The sequence below is a fragment of the Homo sapiens genome, chromosome X (assembly GCF_000001405.40).
Source record: "Homo sapiens chromosome X, GRCh38.p14 Primary Assembly".
NCBI lineage: Eukaryota > Metazoa > Chordata > Mammalia > Primates > Hominidae > Homo > Homo sapiens.
The window spans coordinates 129,655,169-129,681,066 of record NC_000023.11 but is presented as its reverse complement, the minus strand read 5'-3'; the positions used below and the strand labels follow the sequence as shown (position 1 = coordinate 129,681,066).

The window sequence follows — 25,898 nt, the reverse complement described above, 5'->3', positions numbered from 1 at the left end:
AAGGGTCAGTGGGCTGGCCATCCCAATAAAGTTGAAGAACAGTTCTCACAGGAATAATCACACAAGAAAACTGGAAGATGAGAAGGTAGCAGAGCGGGGAGGCTTGAAAGAGTGATTTTTAAAGTGGCACAGCTGAAAGCAATGTCAAGGCCCAAGGTGTGACTGTGCCAGAGTGTAACTTGAGGAGGAGTGCAGGAGGTAAAGATGAGCAAGTCAAAGAATAGAGAGAACATGACATTGGAAGGGATGTCTGCATGAATGTAGAAGTCATCCATGAGAATGTCAGGGTTTCTGGAAGAGGAGAAAACCATGAACTCTTTTACCAAAAGTCTTTAATGAATGAGATTTAAAAAATGACAGTGATTAGGAAGCGGAAAGGTTAGCATTGCCCAATAGTAGGGACCTTGGAAGAGCAAGCCAGTAAATGATAGAGTTCTTCAAACCCTAAGTTGTTTTTTTGTTTGTTTGTTTTTGCCATTCTACAATCTTTATCCAGGTGATTGATTCACACCCCCTATCCTCATGGCTCCCAAATTTACATCTGTAGCTCAGATCTCTCCTCTAAGTTTCAGACAGCTTATCCAACTGCATACTTGACAGCTCCACTTGGACCAAACATATGACCTTCCTTCCAAATACTGTCCTCTTCCAGGCCTCTTTTTCTCTGCGGTGCCCCCATTCATTCAGTTGCCTAAATCTGAAACTTAGCAGTTATCCTTGACAGTCCCCCTCTCTCACATTTCCCCCTGTCAAATCTATTATCAAGTCCTGTTGATTTCACCTCTTCAGTAGCCCTTGAGTTCCTCCGCTCCTCCCTGCCACCACCCTGGCCTACACTGCCATTTCTCCCCTGGTTTAATGCAAGGGCTTCTGTACACAGCCACTTGGCCCCCCTCCAATCTGTTCACTCTGCAGCCAGACTGATCATTTTAAAATGCAAATCTGATCATGTCACCTGCCTGCTTAAACATGTCACCACCTTCCCATGTCTGTCTGACTCACTGCTGAATCCTTAGTAGCTAGCACAGTGCCCAATACAGTGACTCAATAAATATTTGATGATTGAATGAATGTGAGGTAAGATGAAGTGTTTGAAGCCAGATGGACAAATTATGTTCTTTGATCACAAACTGAATTCCTAATCTTGGTCATAAACTGGACCCTACAGTTGGGCCCAGTATGAAATCAATAGGCCTGGCAACAGCCAAAGTCCTTCCTCATAGCTGCTTGTACCATTAGCTCTCAATCCTGCTGCCCATTATAATCACCCAAAAAGCTTAATTAAAAAAAAAAAAAAAAAAAAAAAAGCCCAGATCAGGCATGGTGGCTGCCTCACGCTTGTAATCCCGGAACTTTGGGAGGTTGAGGCAGGAGGCTCTCTTGAGCCCAGGAGTTCGAGACCAGCCTGGGCAACATAGGGAGACCCTGTCTCTACAAAAAATAAAAAAAATTAGCTGGGCATGGTGGCTTGCGCCTGTTGTCCCAGCTACTTGGGAGGCTGAGGTGGGAAGATAGCTTGGGCCCAGGAGTTTGAAACTGCAGTGAACCATGATCCCGCCACTCCAGCAGGGGCGACAGAGAGAGACCCCGTCAAAAAAAAAAAAAAAAGGCCTGACTCTACCTAGACCAACTAAATCAGAATATCTTGGGGGTGGGGGTCCTGGCCTAATTAGTTCTTAAAGCTCCCCAAGTTAATTTTAATGTGCAGCCGCAGTTGAGAGCAATGTTGTACCCCTTGCTTCTCAAGGTGTGGTGCACAGCAGTAGCTGCATCACCTGGGAGCTTGTTAAAAATGCAGTCTCGGGTGCCACCGGATTCCCCAGATTTTCTAAATCAGACTTTTAACAAGGACCTCAGGTGATTTGTCCAAGTGATAATGTTTGAGAAGCACTACCAAGGAGCCAGGCAGGAGAGGGTGGACTTAGTGGTGCTCCTCCCAGCTTCCAGGGAAGTATGTGGTTGCTTGAATGGAGGCAAATCTCCACTCCTCCACGAGTCCAGATCTAATAGCTGGCTCAGCATTTTGCCAGGCTAGTGGGCCGGCATTCCAGTGTAGATAATGTAAATGTCTTTCTGCATGGACAAAATCCCCATCCTGAATAGCGACAGCAAAGCAAAGCAAGGGGTTCCATTCCATCGGGAAAGCTGGGACTAGCAGTATATATTTGCTAGGAGTCCTTTCTGAGGAGTGGGAACAATAGACTAAAGAATCAGCCCTCGCGGTCCTGTCACGTCCCTGCACCCAACTAACCGCGGGCTGGGCCTAGCCATGATTGCTCGCACTGTGAGCACTGCTGCTTGCGCAGGGAACCCGCCCTCAAAGCCACAGCGCCCTGAGATTCTCTCTACCAGCTCCCCACCCCCGCCCCACAACTCTCCTCCAGAAAAGGAAAATAAAAAGTGATCAAAAGTATTCCAATTCTATTATTGGTTTGGTTTCAAAATGTTGGCCCTGTTCTTTCGGGCTGGGCCAGGTGGGTAGAGCCGACACCCCCTTGTCTCGGGGCTCTGAGGCTCTTGAAAGCGCGGGAACCAGCGTGGGGGCGGGATCCCCAGTGCCCCCGGTGCGTAGGCGCACTGCCGCGCTGCCACGCCCTCTCCCGGCCCCTGGCCAGGGCAACGGTGCCAGGGGACTGGCGAAGGCGCGCGGTGGGCGCTGCACTGCCCCCCTCAGGGCGGGCGACGCGCTCCTTCGCGGGCCCAGCGCGTTCACTTCCTGGGCCCGGCTGGCACTGCCCTGCGCCGCCGCCCGTCAGTCCCGGTACCCCGCCAGGAAATGTCTTCTTCCTGGGAAGACGGCCGCTGTCTGCGGCAGTGGGTGGCAGAGTCTGAAACCAAGTCGCACAAGCCCTGGGAGACAGAAAGCCTTGTGTTTGTCTTGGGGACTGTTCCGTCAGAATGAGCAGCTTAAAAAATGTCGCCTGTGAGGTCTCAGCTCGTAAGTGCCCCTCATGCCCACCCCCGGGAGGAGGCATGAGGGTGGGGGAAGCATCTTCATGGTAGATAGAAGCTTAAACGCTGCAGAAGCCGCCCGCTCGCGGCGGCCAGGACGAGGCCCCTTCGAGGCCAGCTGTTTGCTGTGTAACTGAGAGCAGAGTCCTTTAAGGACACAGGCCATTGGGTAAACACCCTCCTTGTCCCTCAGGCAGCTGGGTGTGGACGGCGGCTGCCTTTGGCCGGGGAGGCAAGGGCACCCAGCTGTTACCCAGCCAATGAGGACACATAGCCTCTGAGAAAAGCACAAAGGTGGCCCCTCTAGGCTATCTCTAGGGGAAAAAATTACACACACACACACACACACACACACACACACACACACACACACTCTCTCTTAAAAGTCTTGTGCCTGGATGCTCAGCACTGGCCCTGGAGCCTGCACCCACCTGCCTCCTAGTTGGCAGTAGTTCCCTCACACTGGCATGGTCTCCACTGAGATACTGGCTCCTTCATGAGCTCATTCCCATCCTCTACCTTCTTCCTCCTGTTTCCTTAGTTTCTCTCATTCTTAACTTCTGCTTTCTTCATCTTTCTCCCCATTTGTTCCACCTCTTCCTCTTCTGTTTCTTTCTTCCTTTTCCATTCATTTAAAAATGCACTCACCATGCATTAAGCACTGTAGTAGTCAGCCTGGCTGCCATAATAAAAATACCAGAGACTGTGTGACTTCAACAATAGAAATTAATTTTCTCACTTTTTGGGGCTGGAAGTCCAAAATCAGTGTGCCAGCATGGTGAAGTTCTGGTGAGGGTTCTCTTCCTGGCTTGTAAGATGGCTGCCTTCTTGCTATGTCTTCACGTGGCGGAGGAAGAGAGAGAAAGATCTCTTCTTCTTATAAGGCTGCAGTCCTGTCTGCTTAGGGCTCCACCCTTATGACCTCATTTGACCTTAATTACCTGCTGAAGAGCCTATCTCCAGGTATAGTGATATTGGGGGTTAGGGCTTCAGCATATGAGTTTTTTGGAAGTTGTCAGAAGTCAGTCCATAGCAAGCACCTACAGGGATTGTTAGATCCCTAGGAGCTATAGCAATGGGGAAAGCAGCAGTGCAAACAGATGTGACCAATGTTGTTAACACAGTGTGAACAGAACATAGCAGGAGCACGAAGGGGCAGGGGTGAATAGGTGCCTCGAGAAATCAAAAAGGGCTTGACAGAGAAGGTGACATCTAAGGTATGAGAAGTAATTTGCCAGGCAGAAAACAGAAAAACTATATTTCAGGCAAAGGGAATAGCATGTGCAAAGACATAGAGTTGTGAAACGGCACGGCCTGCTTCATAAGCAATGAAAGGTTCTGTAGCACTGGAAGTGAGGGTGTATAGTGGAGGGGGAGGGGGATGTTGGAGATGCAAGTTGGGGTTGCCACATGAAGGGCCAAAGCAGGACATGATGATGGTCTAAGAAGGCAAGGATAGTGAGGCTGGAAAGTAAGGACAGGGTGCAGGGGACATTGGCAAGTTCAAATTGACAGCATTTGATAACTGATTGAATATTGGGGTGATGAGGAGGGAGGAGTGGAGGGCAACTCCTGAGTTTCTAACTTAAGGGACTGGCAACATTTACTGGAGATACAGGAGGAGGAGTGGGTCTGGGGTGGGGGTGAGAGTGGATATGATGAGTGTTAAGCATCTTTAGAAAGTTCTGAGGTTGGGTACTAGCAGTGAAGTGGGGATGGAACAAACACAATGTAGATTCACTAGCTCACGTGAGGAAACTATTTAATGTTTGAAAAGGAACTATCCCAAATAGTTAAAAGAACAGTGCTCAGAATTCACACAGGGCTGGGAATAGTGCCTGCTCTCAACCAGCTAAAATTAGAGTATTGGGTAGTGCTGCAGTCTGAGTCTTTATATACCCCTCGCCCCCCAAATTCATATGTTGAAATCCTAACCCCCAAGGTGACAGTGTTAGGAAGTGGGGCCTTTGGGAGGTTACTAGGTCACTACGATGGAGCCCCAATTATGAGATTAATGCCCTTAGAAGGAGACATAGGAGAGAGCTTCATTCCTTTCTCTCTCTCTCTGTCATTCTCTCTCTCTCTGTCATCTGAAGGTACAACAAGAAGATAGCAATCTGCAAACCAGAAAGTGGGCCCTCACAAGAACTAGATGATGATGGTGTCCTGGCTTCAAACTCCCAGCTTCCAGAACTGTGAGAAATAAATTTCTGTTGTTTATAAGTTACCCAGTTTTGGTATTTTGTTATAGCAACCTGATTGAACTAAGACAAGTAGAGTACACAGAAGGTTCTTGCTTCAGTATGGTGAAATGATTAGCCCCAAACTTAATACTCTTCTGGTCTCATTTAACAAAGCTTAACAGAAAGCCCCAAAAGGATCAAACAATTTCCAACAAACTTAACTGAGTCCCGGAACAAAACTCAAGAATAATTACAGCAAGGTTTCCCAACCTCAGAATGATTGACATATTTGGGCTTCATAATTCTTTATTGTGGGGGCTGTCTTGTGTATTGCAGGACGTTTACCATCATACCTGGCCTGTACCCATTGGGTACCAATAGCACCCTCCAGTTGTAACAACAAAGAATGTCTTCAGACAAACAAAACTGCCTTTAGATGGGAACCACTGATTATAGAAACTTAGACATATAAACAACCAACAAGGTAGAATACACAATGTCTGGCATCCTGTAAAAAATTCCCTAGCATGGAAAGAGCAGGAAACTGTGACTAATAAGAAGGAGATAAATCAATTAATTGAAATCAAACCAGAACTGACACAGATGTTAGAATTAGCAGACAATGATAAAAAAGTTAATTACAACTAACTGTATTCTGTGTGTTCAAAAAGTTAGGTGGAGACATGGAAGTTTTTTTTTTTTTTTTTGAGACAGAGTCTCGCTCAGTCGCCTAGTCTGGAGTGCAGTGGCGCCATCTCGGCTCACTGCAAGCTCTGCCTCCCAGGTTCCCGCCATTCTCCTGCTTCAGCCTCCCAAATAGCTGGGACTACAGGTGCCCGCCACTATGCCTGGCTAATTTTTTTGTATTTTCGGTACGGATGGTCTCGATCTCCTGACCTCGTGATTCACCCATCTCGGCCTCCCAAAGTGCTGGGATTACAGGCGTGAGCCACCGTGCCTGGCTGGAAGATATTTTTGAAAATAGCCAAATCAAACTTATGGTAATGACAACCACAATATGTGAGGTAAAAAACACATTGGATAGAATTAATAAAAGATTAGACATTGCAGAAGAAAACATTAGTGAACTTGAATACACAGAGATAGAAATGATTTGAAATGAAACACACATAGAAAAGAGAATTACAAAATGAATTGAGCATCAGTAAACTGTAGGAAAAATTCAGATGGCCTCTTATATGTGTAATTGGAATCCCTGATGGAGAAAAAGAAAGAAAAGGGACCAGAAAAAAGTTTGAAGAAATAATGGTCAAAATTTTTTCAAATTTGATGAGAATTATAAACGCACAGATTCAGGGGACTCAACAAATGCCAAGTGCAAGAAACATGAAGAAAATTATGTCGAGACATATTGTAATCATATTGCTCAAAACCAGTGATAAGGAGAATATCTTAAAAGCAACCAGAGAAAAAAGACACATTATATACAGAGAGACAAATACAAGATTTCTCATTGTGAACAATATAAGTGAGAAGATGATGAAGCAAAATCTTTACAACACTGAAAGAAAAAAGAAAACTGTTAACCAGGGATTGTGTATCAGGCAAAAATATCTTTCAAAAATGAAGGCCAAATAAAAACATTTCAGTTATATGAAAGCTCAAATAATTTATCACTAGGAGACCCATGCTACAAGAAATGGAAGAAGAATAATAAATGAAAATATGAATCTACACAAAGGAAAGAAGAACACTGGAAATAATTAACTACACAGGTAAATAGGTCAGATTTTTTAAAAAGTATTTGAATATCTTTAATAGATAGTGGATTGTTTAGGCAAAAATAATAACAATGTAGTGTGAGGTTTGTAACATATGTAAATGTAAAATATATGACTACAATAGCACAGAGGTTGTGGGGAGAAATGGGTATATGCTATTGTAAAGTTTTTATAGTATATGTGATGTGGTACATATCACTTGAAGGTAGACTGTGTAAGTTAAAGATGTTTATAATAAACCTAAAAGTAATCACTAAACAGCACAAAAAGTCATAGCTAATAAGCCAATAAATGAGATGAAATGGTATCATAAAAAACATTCAGTTAATCCCCAAGACAAAAAAAAATGTAACAAGGAATAGATGGGACAAATAGAAAACAAATAACAAAACAATAGATTTAAACCTAAGTGTATCAATAATTAAATGAAATGTAAATGGCTTAAATACCCAAATAAAGGATTGAGATTTCCAGATTGGATATAAAAGCAACAGCCAACTATGTACTGCCTATAAGAAAAACATTTTAACTCCAAAGTTAGAAATAGATTAAAAGTATGGAAAAAAGTTATACCATGCTAACACTAATCAAAAGAAATCTGAAATGTCCATATTAATATGAGATAAAGTAGATTTCAAAGCAAAAATAATTTCCAGAGGTAAAGAAGTTAATTTCATAGTGATGAAAGGGTCAATTCATCAAGGGGACATAACATTTCTAAACGCTTATGTACCCAATAACAGAGCTTCAAAATACCTGAAGTAAAAACTGACAGTACTTCAAGTAGAAATAGAAATTGCAGATTTCAAGACCCATCTTTCAATAATTGATAGAATAAGCAAAGAGAAGATCAGCAAGAATATAGAAGATATGAATAACACTATCAACCAACTTGACCTAATTGATATTTATAGAGCACTCCACCCAACAAGAGAGGAATATACTTTCTTTCCAAAAGCATACAGCACATTTACCAAGATAGACCATATTCTGGGCCATAAAACAAGTTTCAACAAATTTAAAAGAATTCAAGTTAGTAAAGTATATACAAAGTATATTCTATGACTATAATGAATTTAAATTAGAAATCAATAACAGAAAGATCTCTGGAAAATGCCTAGATATCTGGAAACTAAATAACACACTTCTAAATAATCCATAAGTCAAAGAAGAAGTCAAAAAGATAATTAGAATGTATTTTTAAATGAATGAAAATGAAAATACAAGATAATAGAATTCATAGGATGCCACTAAATGCCTATATTAGAAAGCAATAATGCTCTTGAATTAGTTAGGGTTCTCCAGAGAAACAGAACCAATAGGATAGATAGATAGATAGATAGATAGATAGATAGATAGATAGATAGATAGATAGATAGACAGAGAGATAGATAGATAAATAGACAGACAGACAGACAGACAGATAGATAGATAGATAGATATAGAGATATATAAAAAGAGGTTCATTATGAGGGATTGGCTCACATGATTATGGAGGCTAAGAAGTCCCAAGATCTGCTGTCTGTAAGCTGGAGGCCCAGGAAAGCCAGCCATGTAGTTCCAGTCCAAACCCAAAGGCCTGAGAATGAGTGAGCCGATGGTGTAAGTTCCAGTTCGAGGGCCCAAGAACCAGGACCACTGATGTCTGAGAGCAAGTGAAGAAGAATATTCCAGCTCAAGCAGAGAGAGCATATTTGCTCTTCCTCCACCCTTTTGTTCTATTCAGGCCCTTAAAAGATTGGATAATGCCCACTCGTGCTGGTGAGGGCAATCTTCTTTATTCCATCTATCAATTCCAATGTTAATCTCTTCTGGAAACATCCTCACAGACACACCCAGAAATAATGTTTACCAGCTATCTGGGCACCCCTTAACCCAGTCAAGTTGACACATAAAATTAACCATCACAGTTCCTAAATCAATTATCTTAGTTTTCAGAACCAAAAAAGAGCCCGCATTGCCAAGACAATCCTAAGCAAAAAGAACAAAGCTGGAGGCATCATGCTACCTGACTTCAAACTATACTACAAGGCTACAGTAACCAAAACAGCATGGTACTGGTACCAAAACAGAGATATAGATCAATGGAACAGAACAGAGCCCTCAGAAATAATAGCACCCATCTACAACCATCTGATCTTTGACAAACCTGACAAAAACAAGAAATGGGGAAAGCATTCCCTATTTAATAAATGGTGCTGGGAAAAACGGCTAGCCATGCATAGAAAGCTGAAACTGGATCCCTTCCTTACACCTTATACAAAAATTAATTCAAGATGGATTAAAGACTTAAATGTTAGACCTAAAACCATAAAAACCCTAGAAGAAAACCTAGGCAATACCATTCAGGACATAGGCATGGGCAAGGACTTCACGTCTAAAACACCAAAAGCAATGGCAACAAAAGCCAAAATTGACAAATGGGATCTAATTAAACTAAAGAGCTTCTGCACAGCAAAAGAAACCACCATCAGAGTGAACAGGCAACCTACAGAATGGGAGAAAATTTTTGCAATCTACCCATCTGACAAAGGGCTAATATCCAGAATCTACAAAGAACTTAAACAAATTTACAAGAAAAAATCAAACAACCCCATCAAAAAGTGGGCAAAGGATATGAACAGACACTTCTCAAAAGAAGACATTTATGCAGCCAGCAGACACATGAAAAAAAGCTCATCATCACTGGCCATCAGAGAAATGCAAATCAAAACCACAATGAGATACCATCTCACACCAGTTAGAATGGCGATCATTAAAAAGTCAGGAAACAACAGGTGCTGGAGAGGATGTGGAGAAATAGGAATATTTTTACACTGTTGGTGGGAGTGTAAACTAGTTCAACCATTGTGGAAGACAGTGTGGTGATTCCTCAAGGATCTAGAACTAGAAATACCATTTGACCCAGCGATCCCATTACTGGGTATATACCCAAAGGATTATAAATCATGCTACTATAAAGACACATGCACAAGTATGTTTATTGCGGCACTATTCACAATAGCAAAGACTTGGAACCAACCCAAATGTCCATCAATGATAGACTGGATTAAGAAAATGTGGCACATATACACCATGGAATACTATGCAGCCATAAAAAATGATGAGTTCATGTCCTTTATAGGGACATGGATGAAGCTGGAAACCATCTTTATGAGCAAACTATCGCAAGGACGGAAAACCAAACACCACATGTTCTCACTCATAGGTGGGAATTGACCAATGAGAACACTTGGACACAGGGTGGGGAACATCACACACTGGGGCCTGTCGTGGAGTTGGGGGAGGGGGGAGGGATAGCATTAGGAGATTACCTAATGTAAATGACGAGTTAATGGGTGCAGCACACCAACATGGCACATGTATACATATGTAACAAATCTGCACGTTGTGTACACATGTACCCTAGAACTTAAAGTATAATAATAAAAAAAAGAAACTAGAAAGAGATAAAGAAATTAAACCCAAAGTAGAAGAAAGAAAATAATAAAAATCAAAGCAGAAATTAAAGAAATAGAAAAGAAACAAACAATAGAGAAAACGAATTAAGCCAAAAGCTTAGAGTTGAAAGTTCTTAGAGAACATCTGAAGTTCTTAGAGATAATCAATAAAATTGATATATTTTTAGCCAGGCTAATCAGGAAAAGAAGAAAGAAGACACAAATTACCAGTTTGAAGAATGACAGGGGTGACATAACTACAGATTCTCCAAATATTAAAAGAATACTAAGGGAATATTATGAACAACTTTTTGCCAGTAAATTTGACAACTTAGATGAAATGGAAAATTTTTTGAAAGACACAAAACACCTAAACTCACTCAGGAAGAACAGGCACTATGAATAGCCTTCTATTTAAAAAATGACTTTGTGGCTAAAAACCTTTCTACAAATATAACTTCAGGGTCAGATGACTTTATTGGTAAATTCTACAAAATATTTTAAGCAGAAATAATACCAATTTTATACAAACTGTTCCAGAAAATTGAAAAGGAAGAAATATTTCCCTTTTCATTTTAGCTATGTTTATTACTAGCATTACCCTGATAATAAAAAAGGAAAAAGATGTTATGAGAAAACTACAGAGCAGTATCCCTTATAAACATCTATGCTAAAATTGTAGCAAATCAAATCTAACAATATAGAAATAGGAGGATACACCCACGATCAAGTGGGGTTTATCCCAGCAAGGCAAAGTCGGCTTAACATTTGAAAATCAAGCAATGTAATTTGCCACATTAATAAACAAAAGGAGAGAAAAAAACCATAGGATTATCTCAGTAGATGCAGAAAAAGCACTTGACAAAATCCAACATCCTTTTTAAGAAAAACTCTCAACAAACTAGGAATAGAAGGAAACAATCTCAACTTGAGGAAGTGTATTATGAAAAACCCACAGTTAACATGTAACGGTTGACTACTGAATTCTTTCCCCCTAAGATCAGGAGATAGACAAAAAATGTCTGCCCTTATTCGATATTTTACTGGAAGTTCTAGCCAGTGCAATGAGGCAAGAAAATGAAATAAGAGGCATCTAGATAAAAAAGGAAGAAGTAAAACAGTAAAACTGTCTTTATTTGTAGATAACATGATCATGTATATAGAAAATCTAGAAGGATCTACAAGAAATCTACTAGAACTAATACATGACATTAGCAAGGTTTCTGGGTACAAAATTAATATATATAAGTCAACTTTATTTCTATATGCTAGCAACAAACAATTGGAAACTGAAATTTAGAAACAATACTGTTTACAATTCAATGAGAGAAAGAATAGTCTTTTCAACAAATGGTGCTGGGACAAGTGGATATCCACATGCAAAACAATGAAGTTGATCTCCTTTCCTACATCACACATAAAAATGTACTCAAAATAGAGCATAGACCTAAACGTGAGGTCAAACTATAAAAGTCTTAGAACATAGGTATAAATCTGTGTGCTCTTAGATTAGTTGTTTCTTAGATATAACACCAAAAGCACCAAGGAAAATACAGATAAATTTCACTTCATCAAAATGAAGAACTTTTGTGCATCAAAGAACACTATTAAGAAAGTGAAAAAGAAAAAAGACAACCCATGGAATAAGAGAAAAAATTACAAATCATATATCTGATAAGAGCCTAGTATCCAAAACATGTAATGAACTCTTACAACTCAACAATAAAAAGACAACCCAATCAAAAAGTGGGCAAAGGCTCATTTCTCCAAAGATACACAAAAGACCAACAAGCACATAAAACATCATTAGTCATAAGGGAAATGAAAATCAAAACCACAATGAAATACCTCTTCACACACACTAGAATGGCTATAATAAAAACAAAAACAGAAATAAGTGTTTGGGTAGGATATAGAGAAATTGGAACCCTCATACATTGCTGGTGGGAATGGAAAGTGGTACTGTTGCTATGGAAAACAGTTTAGCAGTTCTTCAAATGGTTAAACATGGAGTTGTCATATGGCCCAAGTACATATTTGTAGGTATATTCCTGAGAGAATTGAAGACATACATCCACACAAAAATATGTACACAAATGTTCATAGAGCATTATTCATAATAGTCAAAAATAAAAACAACCCAAATATCCATCAACTGATAAATGGATAGATAAAATGTGGCATATCCAAACAATTGGATATGATTTGGCAGTAAAAGGGGATAAATTTCTCATACATGCCACAACATGGATGAACCTTGAAAGCATTATGCTAGTGAAAGAAGCCAGACACAAAAGGCCAACATTGTATGACTCCATTCATACGAATGTTCAGAAAAGGCAAATCTATAGGGACAGAAAGAAGGTTATTGGTTGCCAGGGGATGGAAGGGTAGGGGAATGGGAAGTGACTGGTAATGGATATGGAGTTTCCTTCTGGGATAATAAAAATGTTCTAATATTAGATTATGGTGATGGTTGCACAACTCTGTAACTATACTAAAAACCATTGAATTGTACACTTTAAACTGGTGAATTGTATGGTATGTGAATTATATCTCAATAAAGTTGTTAAAATAATTCAATACTAAGAAAACCAACCAATAAAAAATGGACTAAATATTTGAACAGACAATTCACCAAATAAGATATCTGGATGGCAAATAAACACATATAAAGATGCTTTCCTCATTAGCCATTAAGGAGATAAAAATTAAAACCACAGTGAGATACCACTACAGATCTATTCGAATGGCTAAAGTTAAAAAGACTGACTGAAGTACTATTCCAATTATGTGAGGTAGTAGAGTAGTTACAGTCATAGAGACAGAAAGTAGAATGGTGGTTGCCAGGGGCTGGGGAAGGCGCAAATGGAAAGTTAATGTTTAATGGGTACAGTGTTTCAGTTTGGAAAGGTGAAAAAGGTGTGGAGATGGATGGTGGTAATGGTTGCAGAGCAATGTGAATATACTTAATGCTGACAAAATATAAACTTAACAACAGTTAAAATTTGTTATGTGTAATTACCTACAATTAAAAAATATGTAAATGAAGTCTTCTTAAAAAGGTCTAAATGGTAAATTTTGTTATATATACCTTTCACCACAATAAAGAAAACAAACAAAAGACTGACCACACCAAGTGTTGGTGAGGATATGGAGGAACTGGAATTCTCATACACTACTGGTGAGAATGTTAAATGGTATGACCATTTTGAAAAATGGTTTGGTAGTGTTATAAAAGTTAAACAGACATCTACCATATGGCTTAGCATTCCACTCCTAGGTATTTTCCCAAGGGAAATGAAAGTCTTTGTCCATACAGAGACTTGTATATGAATATTCATAGCAGTTTTATTGGCAATAGCCAACATCTAGAAAAAAAAAACCATCCATGTGCATCAACACATGAATGAATAAACAAAATATGGTGGAAACCACTCAGCCATTCAAAAGTAATGACCTGCTGATACACAAAACACTGTTAATACATACAACAGCAGGAATAAATCCCAAAATAATTTTTCTGTGTGAAAGAAGCCAGCAAAAACAGAGTACGTATTGTGTTATTCTGTTTATTAAAAATTCTAGAAAATGCAAACTATATATTAACAAGTAAACCCTCCCTCCAGCCCCTCCCCTCTCCTCCATCCCCAGGTGACTGCTTGAAAGCATTATCCCCAAGTGATTGCTTGGAGATGGAGCAGAGGGGAGGGGCTGGATGGAGAGTTTACAAAGAGGCAGAAGGAAACTGTAGGGATTGATGAAAACTTGATAGTGGTGATGGTTTCATGAGAGTATGTATATGTAAAAGCTTAGCAAATTGTACACTTTTGTACACTGCATGAAACTTGTGCAGGTATTGTATGTCAATTATACCTCTATAGCGCTATAAACAAAAAAGGAGGGTGTCTTTGAACAGATAAACTTCAAGGTCCTTTCCAGCTTCAATTCTGTGGTAACTATTAGAGAAAATTATCCCAAAGCCTGCTACTGAAGTAGTCCTTTGTACTGGGATGCCCAAATCATTGAGACAAAACTGAGGATTTTGCTTGGATTATGCGTAGACATGCTTTTGTTATTCACCTCTCTGGGGCTGTGTAGACTGAACCTCAAAATCCAGTGGGACAGAGTGGGGAAGCACACCACCAAACCAGTGGAAAGACATCCAGGTCAGTGGAGGAAACTGGGGAAATGACAGCCTAATGAGCACTCCTCTTTCCAGTTTCTTTGTCTATGATTCAGAGGATCGGCTTGCCCTGAGCATTCCAGACCAGTGAGGCATCTCAGGGCCATGAATGCAGAGATATCCCAGGGGATAAAACAATGGAAGACAAGATGGAAATAAGAAATGGCCTTTTTAGGTCTCTTGACCCAAATGCAAGGAGCTAAGAGGATATGGAGGAAGAGGTGGAAGTATCCCTTCCCTGCAGGAAGGAGATTATGACTTGATGGGGTCTAGGGAAATCAAATGTAAGAAACTAAAGACCTGGAATGTCAAGCCTCCTGGGATGTTTTTTAGATGGACGTGCTAGAGGAGCAAGAGGAAGGAGGTGATACCACCTCCCCCGCCCCCCCACCCAGCCCCGCCAACCCCTCCGCCTGCCTGCTAACAGTGAAAGCCAAGAAGGCCAGGAAGTGGAAGAATGCAAAGCCAAAAGGCACACTTCAAAGCCGTTTGTCAGCTGGGCAGTGCCTTAAGCAAGTGCCACGGCTGATGGATCACCTCATGGGAAGCACCAGCCAAGAGGGATCCAGCCCAGGAGGCTGTCACCCTATCCTCAGCCTGCACCTGGGTCAGATGCTTTAAAGGAAGACAGTCAAAATCCTAAATACCCGAGGTGACTCCGGGCAATATTTACACCTGAGCAGAATGGCATTTTCTTCTTGATCCCAGAGGGTGATCAGTTATAAGCTTCAAGCCTGAAGCAGGGGAATTGAATGTTCTTGTAATTTTATCCTACATAGCAGAGCCACAGAAATTCTTCTTATCCAGAGGAATGTAGAACTCAAGTATCCTTCCCCACCTCCACCCTTGTTCCTCCTGCTACCCCTAAGTCGTGCACAGTGCACTTCCCACTCCCCCAGAAGAATGGTTACATTGGCCAGTATTGTAATGATTCCTCAAATTAGTAAGGCGTTTCATGGTTTATAAAGCTCCTTCCCTTTCATTCTCTTGTTTTGATTCTTATTCAACCCTGGGAGTGAAACATTGTTTTCTCATTTTTTAGAAGAACTTGAGGGAGCAAAGCACAGATGTTCAGACCTATTCATTCATTCATTCATATATGCATTGATTGGGAAAATGATTGAACACCTACTATGAGTTAGACACTGGCTAGATGCTGAGGACACAGTCATGAAACCAGACAGCCATGGCCCCTGCCCTTATGGAGTTCAGTCTAGTTGGACAGTGAGGGGTGGATGGGGTGAGCCAGACATTAACTGAACACAAACTGAATTGTGAACTATGAGAAGCGATTACAGGGGAATTTCAGCCAGTCTGAGGGCCAAGGAAAACATCTCTTGAGGAGGAGTGATTTGACATTAGAGATGAGCTGATTGATGATAGGCATTAGCCAGGAGAAGACAGGGTAGAGCAGAGAATCATTCAGTAGGAGGAAAAAGTATTGGGAAGGCACTGTGACAGGAGGGACATGGCATTGCAGATAGAAAGAGGATAAGAGGCAAGAGAAGAGGCTGGCGAAGTGGGTAGGGGCTAGATTATGCAGGGCCTTGCATGCCATGGTTAAGAGTTTGGTCTTGTCCTAAGAGCCATGAGCCACAGAAGGTTTTCAAGCCAACTGGCATAACCATTCTGGTTGCTATGGAGAATGATGTGTGAGGAATGACAGGGCTGGAACAAGAATAGGGCAGCAGAAACATAGAGACGTGTAGATTTGACAGATATTTGGAGGTTAAATTGGCAGAAAGTTCATGCTGTGTTGATTCCAGCATGCCAGAAATGTAAATGGAGGTAGTGGGGTGTAATGGGTTGAACAGTAGCCCCCGAAAAGATATGTCTATGTCCTAACCCCTGGAACCTGTAAATTTGACACCTCATTTAAAAATGGTCTTTGCAGGTGTAAGAAGTTTAAGGATCTCAAGAGAGACATACTGGATTATCCAAGTGGGCCCTAAATCCATTGCTGACAATCTTTATAAGAGTGAGGCAGCCACGCCTATAATCCAAGCACTTTGGGAGGTCAAAGTGGGAGGATCACTTGAGGCCAGGAGTTTGAGAACAGCCTGGGTAACACGGCAAGACCCGTCTTTACAAAAAAAATAAAAAATAAAAAATCAGCTGGTTGTGGTGGTGCTTGTAGCTACAGCTACTGAAGAGGCTGAGCCAGGGGGATTGCTTGAGGCCAGGAGTTCTAGGTTATGGTGAGCTATGATCACACCACTGCACTCCAGCCTGGGCAACAGAGTGAGACCCTAGAGAGGCAGAAGGATATCACATAGACAAAAGGGTCAGGTCATGTGAAGATGAAGATGGAGGCAGAGATTGGAGGGATGCAGCCCTAAGTCAAAGAATGCCTGGAGCCACCAGGGGATGAAAGAGGCAAGGAAGAATCCTCCCTTACACTTTCATTTTATCTTTATTTATTTTTAATTGACAAATGATAATTGTGCATGTTTATAGGGTACAATGTGAGGTTTTGATCTATGCATACATTGTAGAAAGATTCAATCAAACTAATTTACACATCTATCACTTCACTAATTTATCATAAACTTCTCACCCTAGAGCTTTCTTGATTTCAGATTTCTGGCTTCCAGAAGTGAGAAGAAATAAACTGTTGTTTTAAGCCACGAAGTTTGTGGTAATCTGTCATAGCAGCCCTGAGAAATTAACACATGGAGTTTTGCTGTAAGATGGCTAGTTTTCTTTCTTTTTTCTCCAGAAGTGTTACCTTTTAAATTTTAGTACAATATTTGACTCTCTCTTTATGTGTATGGGAAATGTATGAAAGTCAAAAAGTAAGAACCTCAAAAGATCTCAGTCTGTGGCCATGGTTAGGATTCAGGTAGTGACTGGTGTCAATCCAAACTTGAGTTTGGGATAGAACAAAGCTGACCTCATTATCTCTCTGACTTTGACCTTATTATCCCAGAACTCTAAGCCCATAACGGAACTGGTCATAGACTCAATACCGTGTCCTCAACAGTCTTTGCCCTGGCTCTGCAAACAAAGGTGCCAGATTTGAGACATATAATATCTTACATGATATAAGCCCAGATAATATTAACCAGCAAAGCAAGAGGAAGAAAGGTTCAATGGACTTTGGAGATAAACCTGCTCCTTTGGGAGTGGCTATCCTAACTCACAGGGCCTTGCTGCGTAAGGAAGGAATTCACATGCCTCCCCTGGGAGACCAGGGTATTTATAGACCGTAGGGGAGAGGAAGGATGGAGGCTCCTGGGAGACGTCATAGAGGATATGCAGAGGAAATGAAACTGCTCTGAAAGACAAACAGGAGGAATGGGGACCTGTGTGGCTATGGGAGAGGATCAGAAGGAATGAAGCAGGATGTAGGGAAAAGGGGGTAATTCTGTGGAGCTGGGCTGGGCTGGGGGCAGGAACAGAGGAACAGTTCTTCACCTCAGAGAATCTCTCTTAGGACTTATTCAGCTAATAAACTGTGAACCCTTCAAAGACATTTGAAATATAGCTGATTATCTGAATTCCACTGACAACATTTTTCAGGAACTTGGGTGTTGTGTCAAGGAAGGCGTATCTGTGGGAACCCCTGGTGTTCCTTGAATATATCAGACGATCTGAGAAGGTATGTAGTTTGCAAAGAAGTTGGAAGAAACAGAGAAATGGAATAAGCATTTCCAGGGCAGTTGGAGCCCATGTGGCAGTGGCTGAAAGGTGTCCCATGGAAGGAATTAGCATGTAGTGACTTGAATATAGTATTAAACACTTGAGATGTGAATAGAGATAATGTGGTTATGCTGCAAAATGGCTACTTCTCTAATTTTTGCAAACCTGATACCGTGTGATGGTTAGTATTTGACTCTGTGTGCTTGGGAAGAGGGCAAGTGTGAAAGACAAGATCTCGGTCTGTGGCCAGGCTTAGGACCTAGCTGGTGATCAGAATTAAGAGGTATTGGACATCAAGACAAGAATCACACAGTTAGCTGAAGAAGAAACCCCAGCAAAGTCCAACAAAGAGATTATTCCCTCAAAATGATTATTAGGATCTTTTGATTCACAGAATAAGTTCCAGGCTAAGTTTCACATAATGAACATCATGTCTCTGATTTAAATGGTCTCACACCCAGAATGGGAAAGTGAACCCATGAATATGGCTTAAGCATCTACTACTCTATGGCAAGCATTGTGCTGGCTGCTCTGGTGGTTATAGATGAGTTAGAAAGCTCAACTCTAGCCGTTAGTATCAGAAAGACAAATACTCAGTAATGAGAGAGTGAAAAATTCATGTTCTCTTGTGGTGGTTAACTGAGCAAAGATAATTTGTCATGAAGCTAGTTAGTGAGGCATCAACTAGCAGCTGGCCCATGCTTTTTTCCCCCAAGTTCCTGTTAAGTAGCTTCAGAGGCAGGGTAAGCTTTGAAGTTCTTCTTAAATACTTTTTCCCGATGTTGCTGCTACTGAACTTCTTTTGCTCATTAATTTAGCTTATGTCTTAAGGAACAAATTAGATGAGTGACAATGGGAAGACTCATTCTGAGATGCTCCAAAAGCGCTGGCCTATGGAATGAGAATCCTGTGCCTAACCACAGTCATTTTGTTGTGCCTATGCAGCCAGCTAGGGGACTGCTTGGCCAGTGAGCGCTACTTCTATGCTGGGAAGACACAGAAGGAAAAATAGGAGTTGGGATTTAGTTGAACCTAGGCTCCGTCCTGACTTTGCCACCAGCTTTCTGTGTAGCTTTGGGTAAGTCACTTTTCCTTTCTGGACCTCAGTTTCTCCATCTGCATAATGAGGGGGTTGGGGCTCTTGCTGTTATGAAATCTCTCTGATTGCTGGCCAGGGTCATCCTTCTTCAGATGTCCTCTCCCCACTCCACTTTTTGCATTGATCCAGTAAAAACAACTACTACACAATGAGGAGAGGGAAGATGGTCACATCTTTGTGTATGTCTGTTAGCTGTTAGTGTTGACCCATCTAAGAACCAGTTGGACAAGTTGTGATGATTTTGCCCAAATAGAGACACTTGATATGGATCATAAACCTAGAGCAATTATTAACAAGAATATACAATTCCTTCTTTCATTCAACAAACATTTATTGAGTATTTGCTTTGGGCAACAGCACTGCTGGTGAGAATATAAAAACGAATAAGACATAGTGTTACTATCTCATATAAGTCAGAGATATATACAAATACCCATGGGAATATGTAACATTTACACAATGCTTCCCTTACTATAAGAACCAAACTCAGTGCCGAGTACTTTATAGGTATTGATTCTTTTAATCCTTTCAGTAACAATGGGAGCTAGGTGCTAGCCCTTTTTTCTGATGAGGCACCTAAGGCTCAGAAAGGTTAATAATTTGCTCAAAGTTACCTATGTAGTAAGAGACAGAGCTGCCTTATTCTAGAACCCATGTGCTTAACCACTATGTACTTCATGGCTTCCTAATTCAAGACAGTATGAGTTAGGTGCTAGAAGTTCAAATAAAGTGATAGGTGGACCCAAAAAGTGAGAAACTGCTTCTTTTTTTTTTTTGGAGACAGAGTCTCACTCTGTCACCCAGTCTGGAGTGCAGTGGCGCGATCTCGGCTCACTGCAAGCTCCGCCTCCTGGGTTCACGCCATTCCCCGGCCTCAGCCTCCCGAGAAACTGCTTCTTGATGTTCAGTGAGGAAAGAGTGTGGGCTTTGAGGTTAGGCAGTGATATAGTTTGGTTCTGTGTCCCCACCCAAATCTCATCTTGAATTGTAATCCCCACATGTTGAGGGAGGGACCTGGTGGGAGGTGATTTGATCATGGGGTCGTTTCCCCCATGCTGTTCTCATGATAGTGAGTGAGTTCTCATAAGATCTGATGGTTTAAAAGTGTTTGGCAGTTCCCCCTCCCTCTCTCTTTCTCCTGCTGCCTTGTAAGATGTGCCTGGCTTCCCCTTTGGCTTCCACCATAATTGCAAGTCTCCTGAGGCCTCCCCAGCCATGTGGAACCGTGAGTCAATTAAAACTCTTTTCTTTATAAATTACCCAGTCTCATGAGAACTCTGCCCCCATGATCCAGTCACCTCCCACCAGACACCACCTCCAACACTTGGGATTATAATTCTACAGGAGATTTGGTGGGGACACAGATCCAAACCATATCAGAGCCCTTTCTTCCTGATCAGTTTCAGAAGGCCAGAGGATAGACCCAAAGGTGGGGGGAGAAGCAGGTCAGGAAGAGGAGAAAACTAACATCCAATGAGCAGGGGACTGTGCTAAGTATTTTACACACATTATCTCATTTAATCTCCCAACCATAATGTCTTTGTCCATTCCTGTTGCTATAACAGAATACTCGAGACTGGATAATTATAAATAATCCAAATTTATTTCTTACAGTTCTGGAGGCTGGGAAGTCTGAGATCAAGGTGCTGGCAGTTTCTGTGTCTGATGAGGGCCCAGTCTGTGCTTACTAGATGGTGTCTTGAATGCTGCTTCCTCTGGAGCGTTCAAACACTGTGTCCTCATATGACATAAGGGACAGAAGGGCAAAAAGGGAACTAGGGTGCCCCTTCCAACTTCTTTTATAAGAGCACTAATTAATTCATGAGGGTGGAACCCTCATGACTTAATCAATCTCAAAAGGCCCTTCCTCTTAACACATCACCTTGGGCTTTTAATTTCAACATATGAGGCCAGGCGTGGTGGCTCACGCCTGTAATCACAGCACTTTGGGAGGCCAAGGCGGGGGGATCACCTGAGGTCAGGAGTTTGAGACCAGCCTGACCAACATGGAGAAACCCCATCTCTACTAAAAATATAAAAAATTAGCCGGATGTGGTGGCACATGCGTGTAATCCCAGCTACTCTGGAGGCTGAGGCAGGGGAATCACTTGAACCCGGGAGGCAGAGGTTACGGTGAGCCAAGATCGTACCATTGCACTATAGCCTGGGCAACAAGAGTGAAACTCCATCTCCAAAAACAAAAACAAAAAAATTAAACATATGAATTTTGGAGGGACACATACATTCAAACCTTAGCACTTAAAAAATTAGGTACCATTATTATCCTCATTTAACAGAGGAAAAAACTGAGCCTCAGAGAAGCTGAATAACTTGCCCAAGGTCACACAGCTAACGAATGGGGTTGAGGGGCAGGATTTGAATTCAGTTATGTGAAACTCCAAAAGCTGAGTTCTTTTTAATGCCTCACACTGTTCACTTTAACCCACAAGAGACGTGGATGAGTCAACTGAACAGCAGTGGCTGGTGGTGACATAGGACAATAAGCAGAACTGAATAGCATGTGGATAGCTCTGATGAGGGGGGCAAGTCACACTTTGAACTCACATAGGTCAGCTATCTCACTTCTGTCCCCAACAATGCACTGAGTCCTACCCTTGCCCCCAGGATTGTCCCTCACCTTGACTGGAAACTGAGTCTTGCTGCTGACCACAGGTCCTGAGCCCCAAATGCAGCAACATTTCCAGAAATTTTACAGCTACTTGCTGCCTCAGGGCAGGAGAGTGTGGACAGTTTCATGTACCTCCTTCCCATCTCCAGAGAAATACCTTGAAACAGTGGTCCCCACATTTTTGGCATCAGGGATTGGTTTCATGAAAGACAACTTTTCCATGGACTAGGGTTAGGAGGGATGGTTTCAGGATGACTCAAGTGCATTATATTTATTGTGCACTTTATTTCTATTTTTTTTTTGTAATATATAATGAAATAATGCTACAACTCACCACAATGTAGAATCAGTGGGAGCCCTGAGTTTGTTTTCCTACAACTAGATGGTCCCATCTGGGGGTGATGAGAGACAGTGACAGATCATCAGGCATTAGATTCTCATAAAGAACATGCAACCTAGATCCCTCACACATGCAGTTTACAATAGGGTTCGTGCTCCTATGACAATGTAACGCCACTGCTGATCTGACAGAAGGTGGAGCTCAGGTGGTAATGGGAGCAATGGAGAGCGGCTGTAAATACAGATGATGCTTCGCTGGCCCATCTGCTGCTCACCTCCTGCTGTGAGGCCTGGTTCCTAATAGAACAGGGAGCCATAGTGGTCCATGGCCCAGGGATTGGAGACTTATGCCTTAAAACATTTATCCTGCTGATATTCATTCAATAGTATCCTGAACAAAAGACAGCACAGTGTTGGGCCGACAGTTGCTCACCTGACAGGCAGTTATGAAGTATCAATTATGTGCCAGGCATTGTGCTAGGTGCTATCACAGCAGTGACCTTAAAGTCTGGCAAATAGATACAGATATTCGAAAACTGGTCATTTCAATCTGATATTAAGATATCTGGGAGCCTACAAGGGGTTCAGAGTGGGCAATCAGAGCTGCGTTCCTTGCCTCATGGGCCTTGACCCCTGAATGGATATGGTGGTGATGGGTCCTCTCTGCAGAATTACAGCAGGCCCGTAGAGCACAGTGTGCAGATGCAAAAGTGTTCCTGATGCACTGTGAGAGGACCTACCAATGACAGGTACAGCCATAGCTGTTATGGAGAGGGCAAAGTCACTGTGGGCAAGGGTGTCCTGAGAAAGAAAGATGAAATCTTGGATCTGGGACTACGAAAACAGATGTGGCCAGGCATGGTGACTCACACTTGTAATCCCAGCACTTTGGGAGGCCGAGATGGGAGGATTGCTTGAGACCAGGAGTTTAAGACCAGCCTGAGAAACATAGTAAGACTCAGTCTCTACAAAAAATATAAATAAATTTAAAAATTAGCCTGGTATGGTGGTGCATGTCTGTAGTCCCAGCTACTTGGGAGGCTGAGGTGGGAGGATCACTTGAGCCTAGAAGTTTGAGCCTGCATTGGGCTGTGATTGCACTACTGCACTTCAGCCTAGGGTAACAGAGCAAGACCCTGCCTCTAAAAAAAAATGGATGTAATTTGGTTAAATGAAGAGAAGGATTCAATTAAAAAATGATTCTCCCAAGTGTCAGATCTTTAAATCTTACTCTAAACGCATGCCTTCAGCTTGGCTTGAATTTCTATTGGTTTGCTTTTATGCTTTTTTTCCCCTCACCTTGTACATTTTGAAGGCTAGGTAGGGTGGGAAAATGGATTATAGAAAAAAGAAGAATGAATGAATGCTCTAACCAATAGAACTTTCTGCAGTGATTGAAGATTCTATTCTGTGCTGTCCAATACAGTAGCCACTAGCCACATATAGGCAATTGAAGCGTGGCCAGTGGAACTGAGGAACTGAATTTTAAACTTCATTGGAAATATGATTAGTGGCTATTGTATTAGAAAGCGCTATGTGTTCCAACCACTTAGCAATATGCCATACACACCCTAGTAAAGGTGCAATTAAATATGAAGGCTTCTATTAACCTAGTTATGGGGGACACTTATTTGGGTGTGCATGGGCTTGCCCAATCAAGGATTGGAGCACCAAGTTTCCTAAAAACAACCCTGCAAGAGCTTATTCTTAATTTGCACGGTACCTTCAGGCACATTATCTCACTTAATCCCATAACAACTTTGAAGTGGGTAGAGCAGAGATTATCACCTCCATGAACCCCAGTAAGTTTAGGTGATGATGGCAAGGCCCTACAGCAAATGAGGGTGGAGACTAGAAGCCAGGTGTTTCTCCTCCTGGTTAGAAAATGCTTTCCATCCAGGCGTGGTGGCTAACGCCTGTAATCCCAACACTTTGGGAGGCCGAGGCGGGTGGATCATCTGAGGTCAGGAGTTCGAGACCAGCCTGACCAACCTGGTGAAACCCCGTCTCTACTAAAAATACAAAATTAGTCGGGCATGGTGGCGCATGCCTGTAATCCCAGCTACTCAGGAGGCTGAGGCAGGAGAATCGCTTGAACCTGGGAGGCGGAGGTTGCAGTGAGCTGAGATAGGGTATTGCACTCCAGCTTGAGCGACAGAGCAAAACTCGGTCTCAAAAAAAAAAAAAAAAAAAAGAAGAAAGAAAGAAAAAAGAAAAAAAGAAAAAGAAAAGAGAAAGAAAGCAAACTCTTTCCAGGGGAACAGTGAAGGGAGAATGGTCTCCTGCTACCCATGTCTGCTACTCATATCCTGGGTCTCAAGGATGAAGAGGGGTGCCATGCTTCACATGCTTTTTTTTTTTACTTGAGTGTGGTTAATGGGCCATAGGCTATTAATGAGAACCTTATCTTATTCCCTTCCTGCTACCTGAATTTAGGCAGTAAAGATGTTTTTGAAAATTTCATTTATATATTCAAAATTATGTATTGAGTACCAGTCATGTCGCAGGTACTGTTCTAGGTCTGGGGACACAGCTGTGAACAAAGCAAAGATCCCTCCCTTGTGGAGGTAACCCTTCTGGTGGAGAGAGACTGATAATAAATACATTGTGTATATATAGGATTTTTGCAACATTTCAAAGATATTTTAAATATGCCATGGTCTCTCATGTCTTTTATGGCACACACGCACCCTGTCCAATGTATCTTTTGTGTAAATCTGGACTTAACACTTCAAGCAAACTGCCTGGCTTGCTGAAAGGTGGAGACACCTTTCGATTCAGTCTTTTAATATGTGTTGAGTGCCACCTATGTGCAGAGCAAGATATTGGGGACTTTGGAGAGATCCAGAAGAGTGAGAAGACAGTATCCTACCTTAGGGGGTTCCCAGTCCAATGAGGGAAGCAGCCCCATGCCTTGGGAGCTCCCAAGCTATAGAAGCAGCTAACAATCGAGTCTGGAAAGGCAAACAACTTCAGGACCCGCTTCTAAAGCGGAATCGCAAGTACACGCAAAATGAATCCAGCCTTGACTGTGTGGAGTTGGGTAAACCACCTGCCTCTTACGTTGATGGGGAACTAGAATGAGGACAGCTCCAGGGAACAAGAAAGGGTAGACCATAGGAGCTGTCCCATGTCCCAACAGTGGGGAGGAGCTGATGGGCGGCCCCTGCTGGATTAGTGTTATCCTGAGAAGGCTTCTGGATGCGATGGGATTTGAGGTGCTGCTGCAAAGAATGAATTGCTCACGGAAGGGTGGGGTGGGGGCATTCCAGGTAGAGGGTGCCTCCTGGGGGATGCAGGGAACATGAGGGGCCTGGGCAATTAATCAAGCCTTGGGCACAAGCCTAGGCAGTCACCCCCAATTCAAAGCCAGTTGAAAATGCAGAGGAGAGAGGAGGGCCAGTGTTTGGTTGTCTTGACCAAACCCTTGAAGCTGGCCAGCGGCAAGGGCAAGGACCAGGGTCAGAGGTAGAGGGCGTGAGTGAAGGCAACCCAGACTGAGTCCTTCCCTAAGCGCCCAGGTTTCCTGACAGCTGTTAAGGAAGCAAGGTGAGAAAGGGTTAAGTGTGCCCCTCCACCGCCCCAAATGCTTCCTGTGTTTGAAATCCTTCAGGTCTCTGCAAACCCTCTGGCCCCCGGCCAGGCGGGCATTGTCCGGGGAGCGGTTGTAGGTTGTCAGAGAGGCC

At 42.3% G+C, this 25,898-nt stretch overlaps 1 long non-coding RNA gene across 1 annotated transcript, besides 6 other annotated features; it reads left to right on the top strand.

Moving 5' to 3' along the window:
• Positions 2,513-2,692: a silencer, noted in NCBI's record as "silent region_20978". NCBI's record gives its function as "represses an Ori minimal core promoter by ATAC-STARR-seq in GM12878 lymphoblastoid cells {active_cell/tissue: GM12878}" and the evidence as "EXISTENCE:reporter gene assay evidence [ECO:0000049][PMID:35858748]".
• On the top strand, positions 2,597-5,179 carry LOC105373334 (uncharacterized). Its single transcript, XR_938580.4, has 2 exons — positions 2,597-2,938; positions 5,049-5,179. It is a non-coding gene; the product is annotated as an uncharacterized LOC105373334 (long non-coding RNA).
• Positions 2,923-3,092: an enhancer, noted in NCBI's record as "active region_29918". NCBI's record gives its function as "activates an Ori minimal core promoter by ATAC-STARR-seq in GM12878 lymphoblastoid cells {active_cell/tissue: GM12878}" and the evidence as "EXISTENCE:reporter gene assay evidence [ECO:0000049][PMID:35858748]".
• Positions 14,441-14,735: an enhancer, noted in NCBI's record as "tiled region #14523; HepG2 Activating non-DNase unmatched - State 24:Quies". NCBI's record gives its function as "activates a minimal TATA promoter and a strong SV40 promoter by Sharpr-MPRA in HepG2 cells {active_cell/tissue: HepG2}" and the evidence as "EXISTENCE:reporter gene assay evidence [ECO:0000049][PMID:27701403]".
• Positions 14,441-14,735: a silencer, noted in NCBI's record as "tiled region #14523; K562 Repressive non-DNase unmatched - State 24:Quies". NCBI's record gives its function as "represses a minimal TATA promoter and a strong SV40 promoter by Sharpr-MPRA in K562 cells {active_cell/tissue: K562}" and the evidence as "EXISTENCE:reporter gene assay evidence [ECO:0000049][PMID:27701403]".
• Positions 24,928-24,987: an enhancer, noted in NCBI's record as "active region_29917". NCBI's record gives its function as "activates an Ori minimal core promoter by ATAC-STARR-seq in GM12878 lymphoblastoid cells {active_cell/tissue: GM12878}" and the evidence as "EXISTENCE:reporter gene assay evidence [ECO:0000049][PMID:35858748]".
• Positions 24,998-25,087: an enhancer, noted in NCBI's record as "active region_29916". NCBI's record gives its function as "activates an Ori minimal core promoter by ATAC-STARR-seq in GM12878 lymphoblastoid cells {active_cell/tissue: GM12878}" and the evidence as "EXISTENCE:reporter gene assay evidence [ECO:0000049][PMID:35858748]".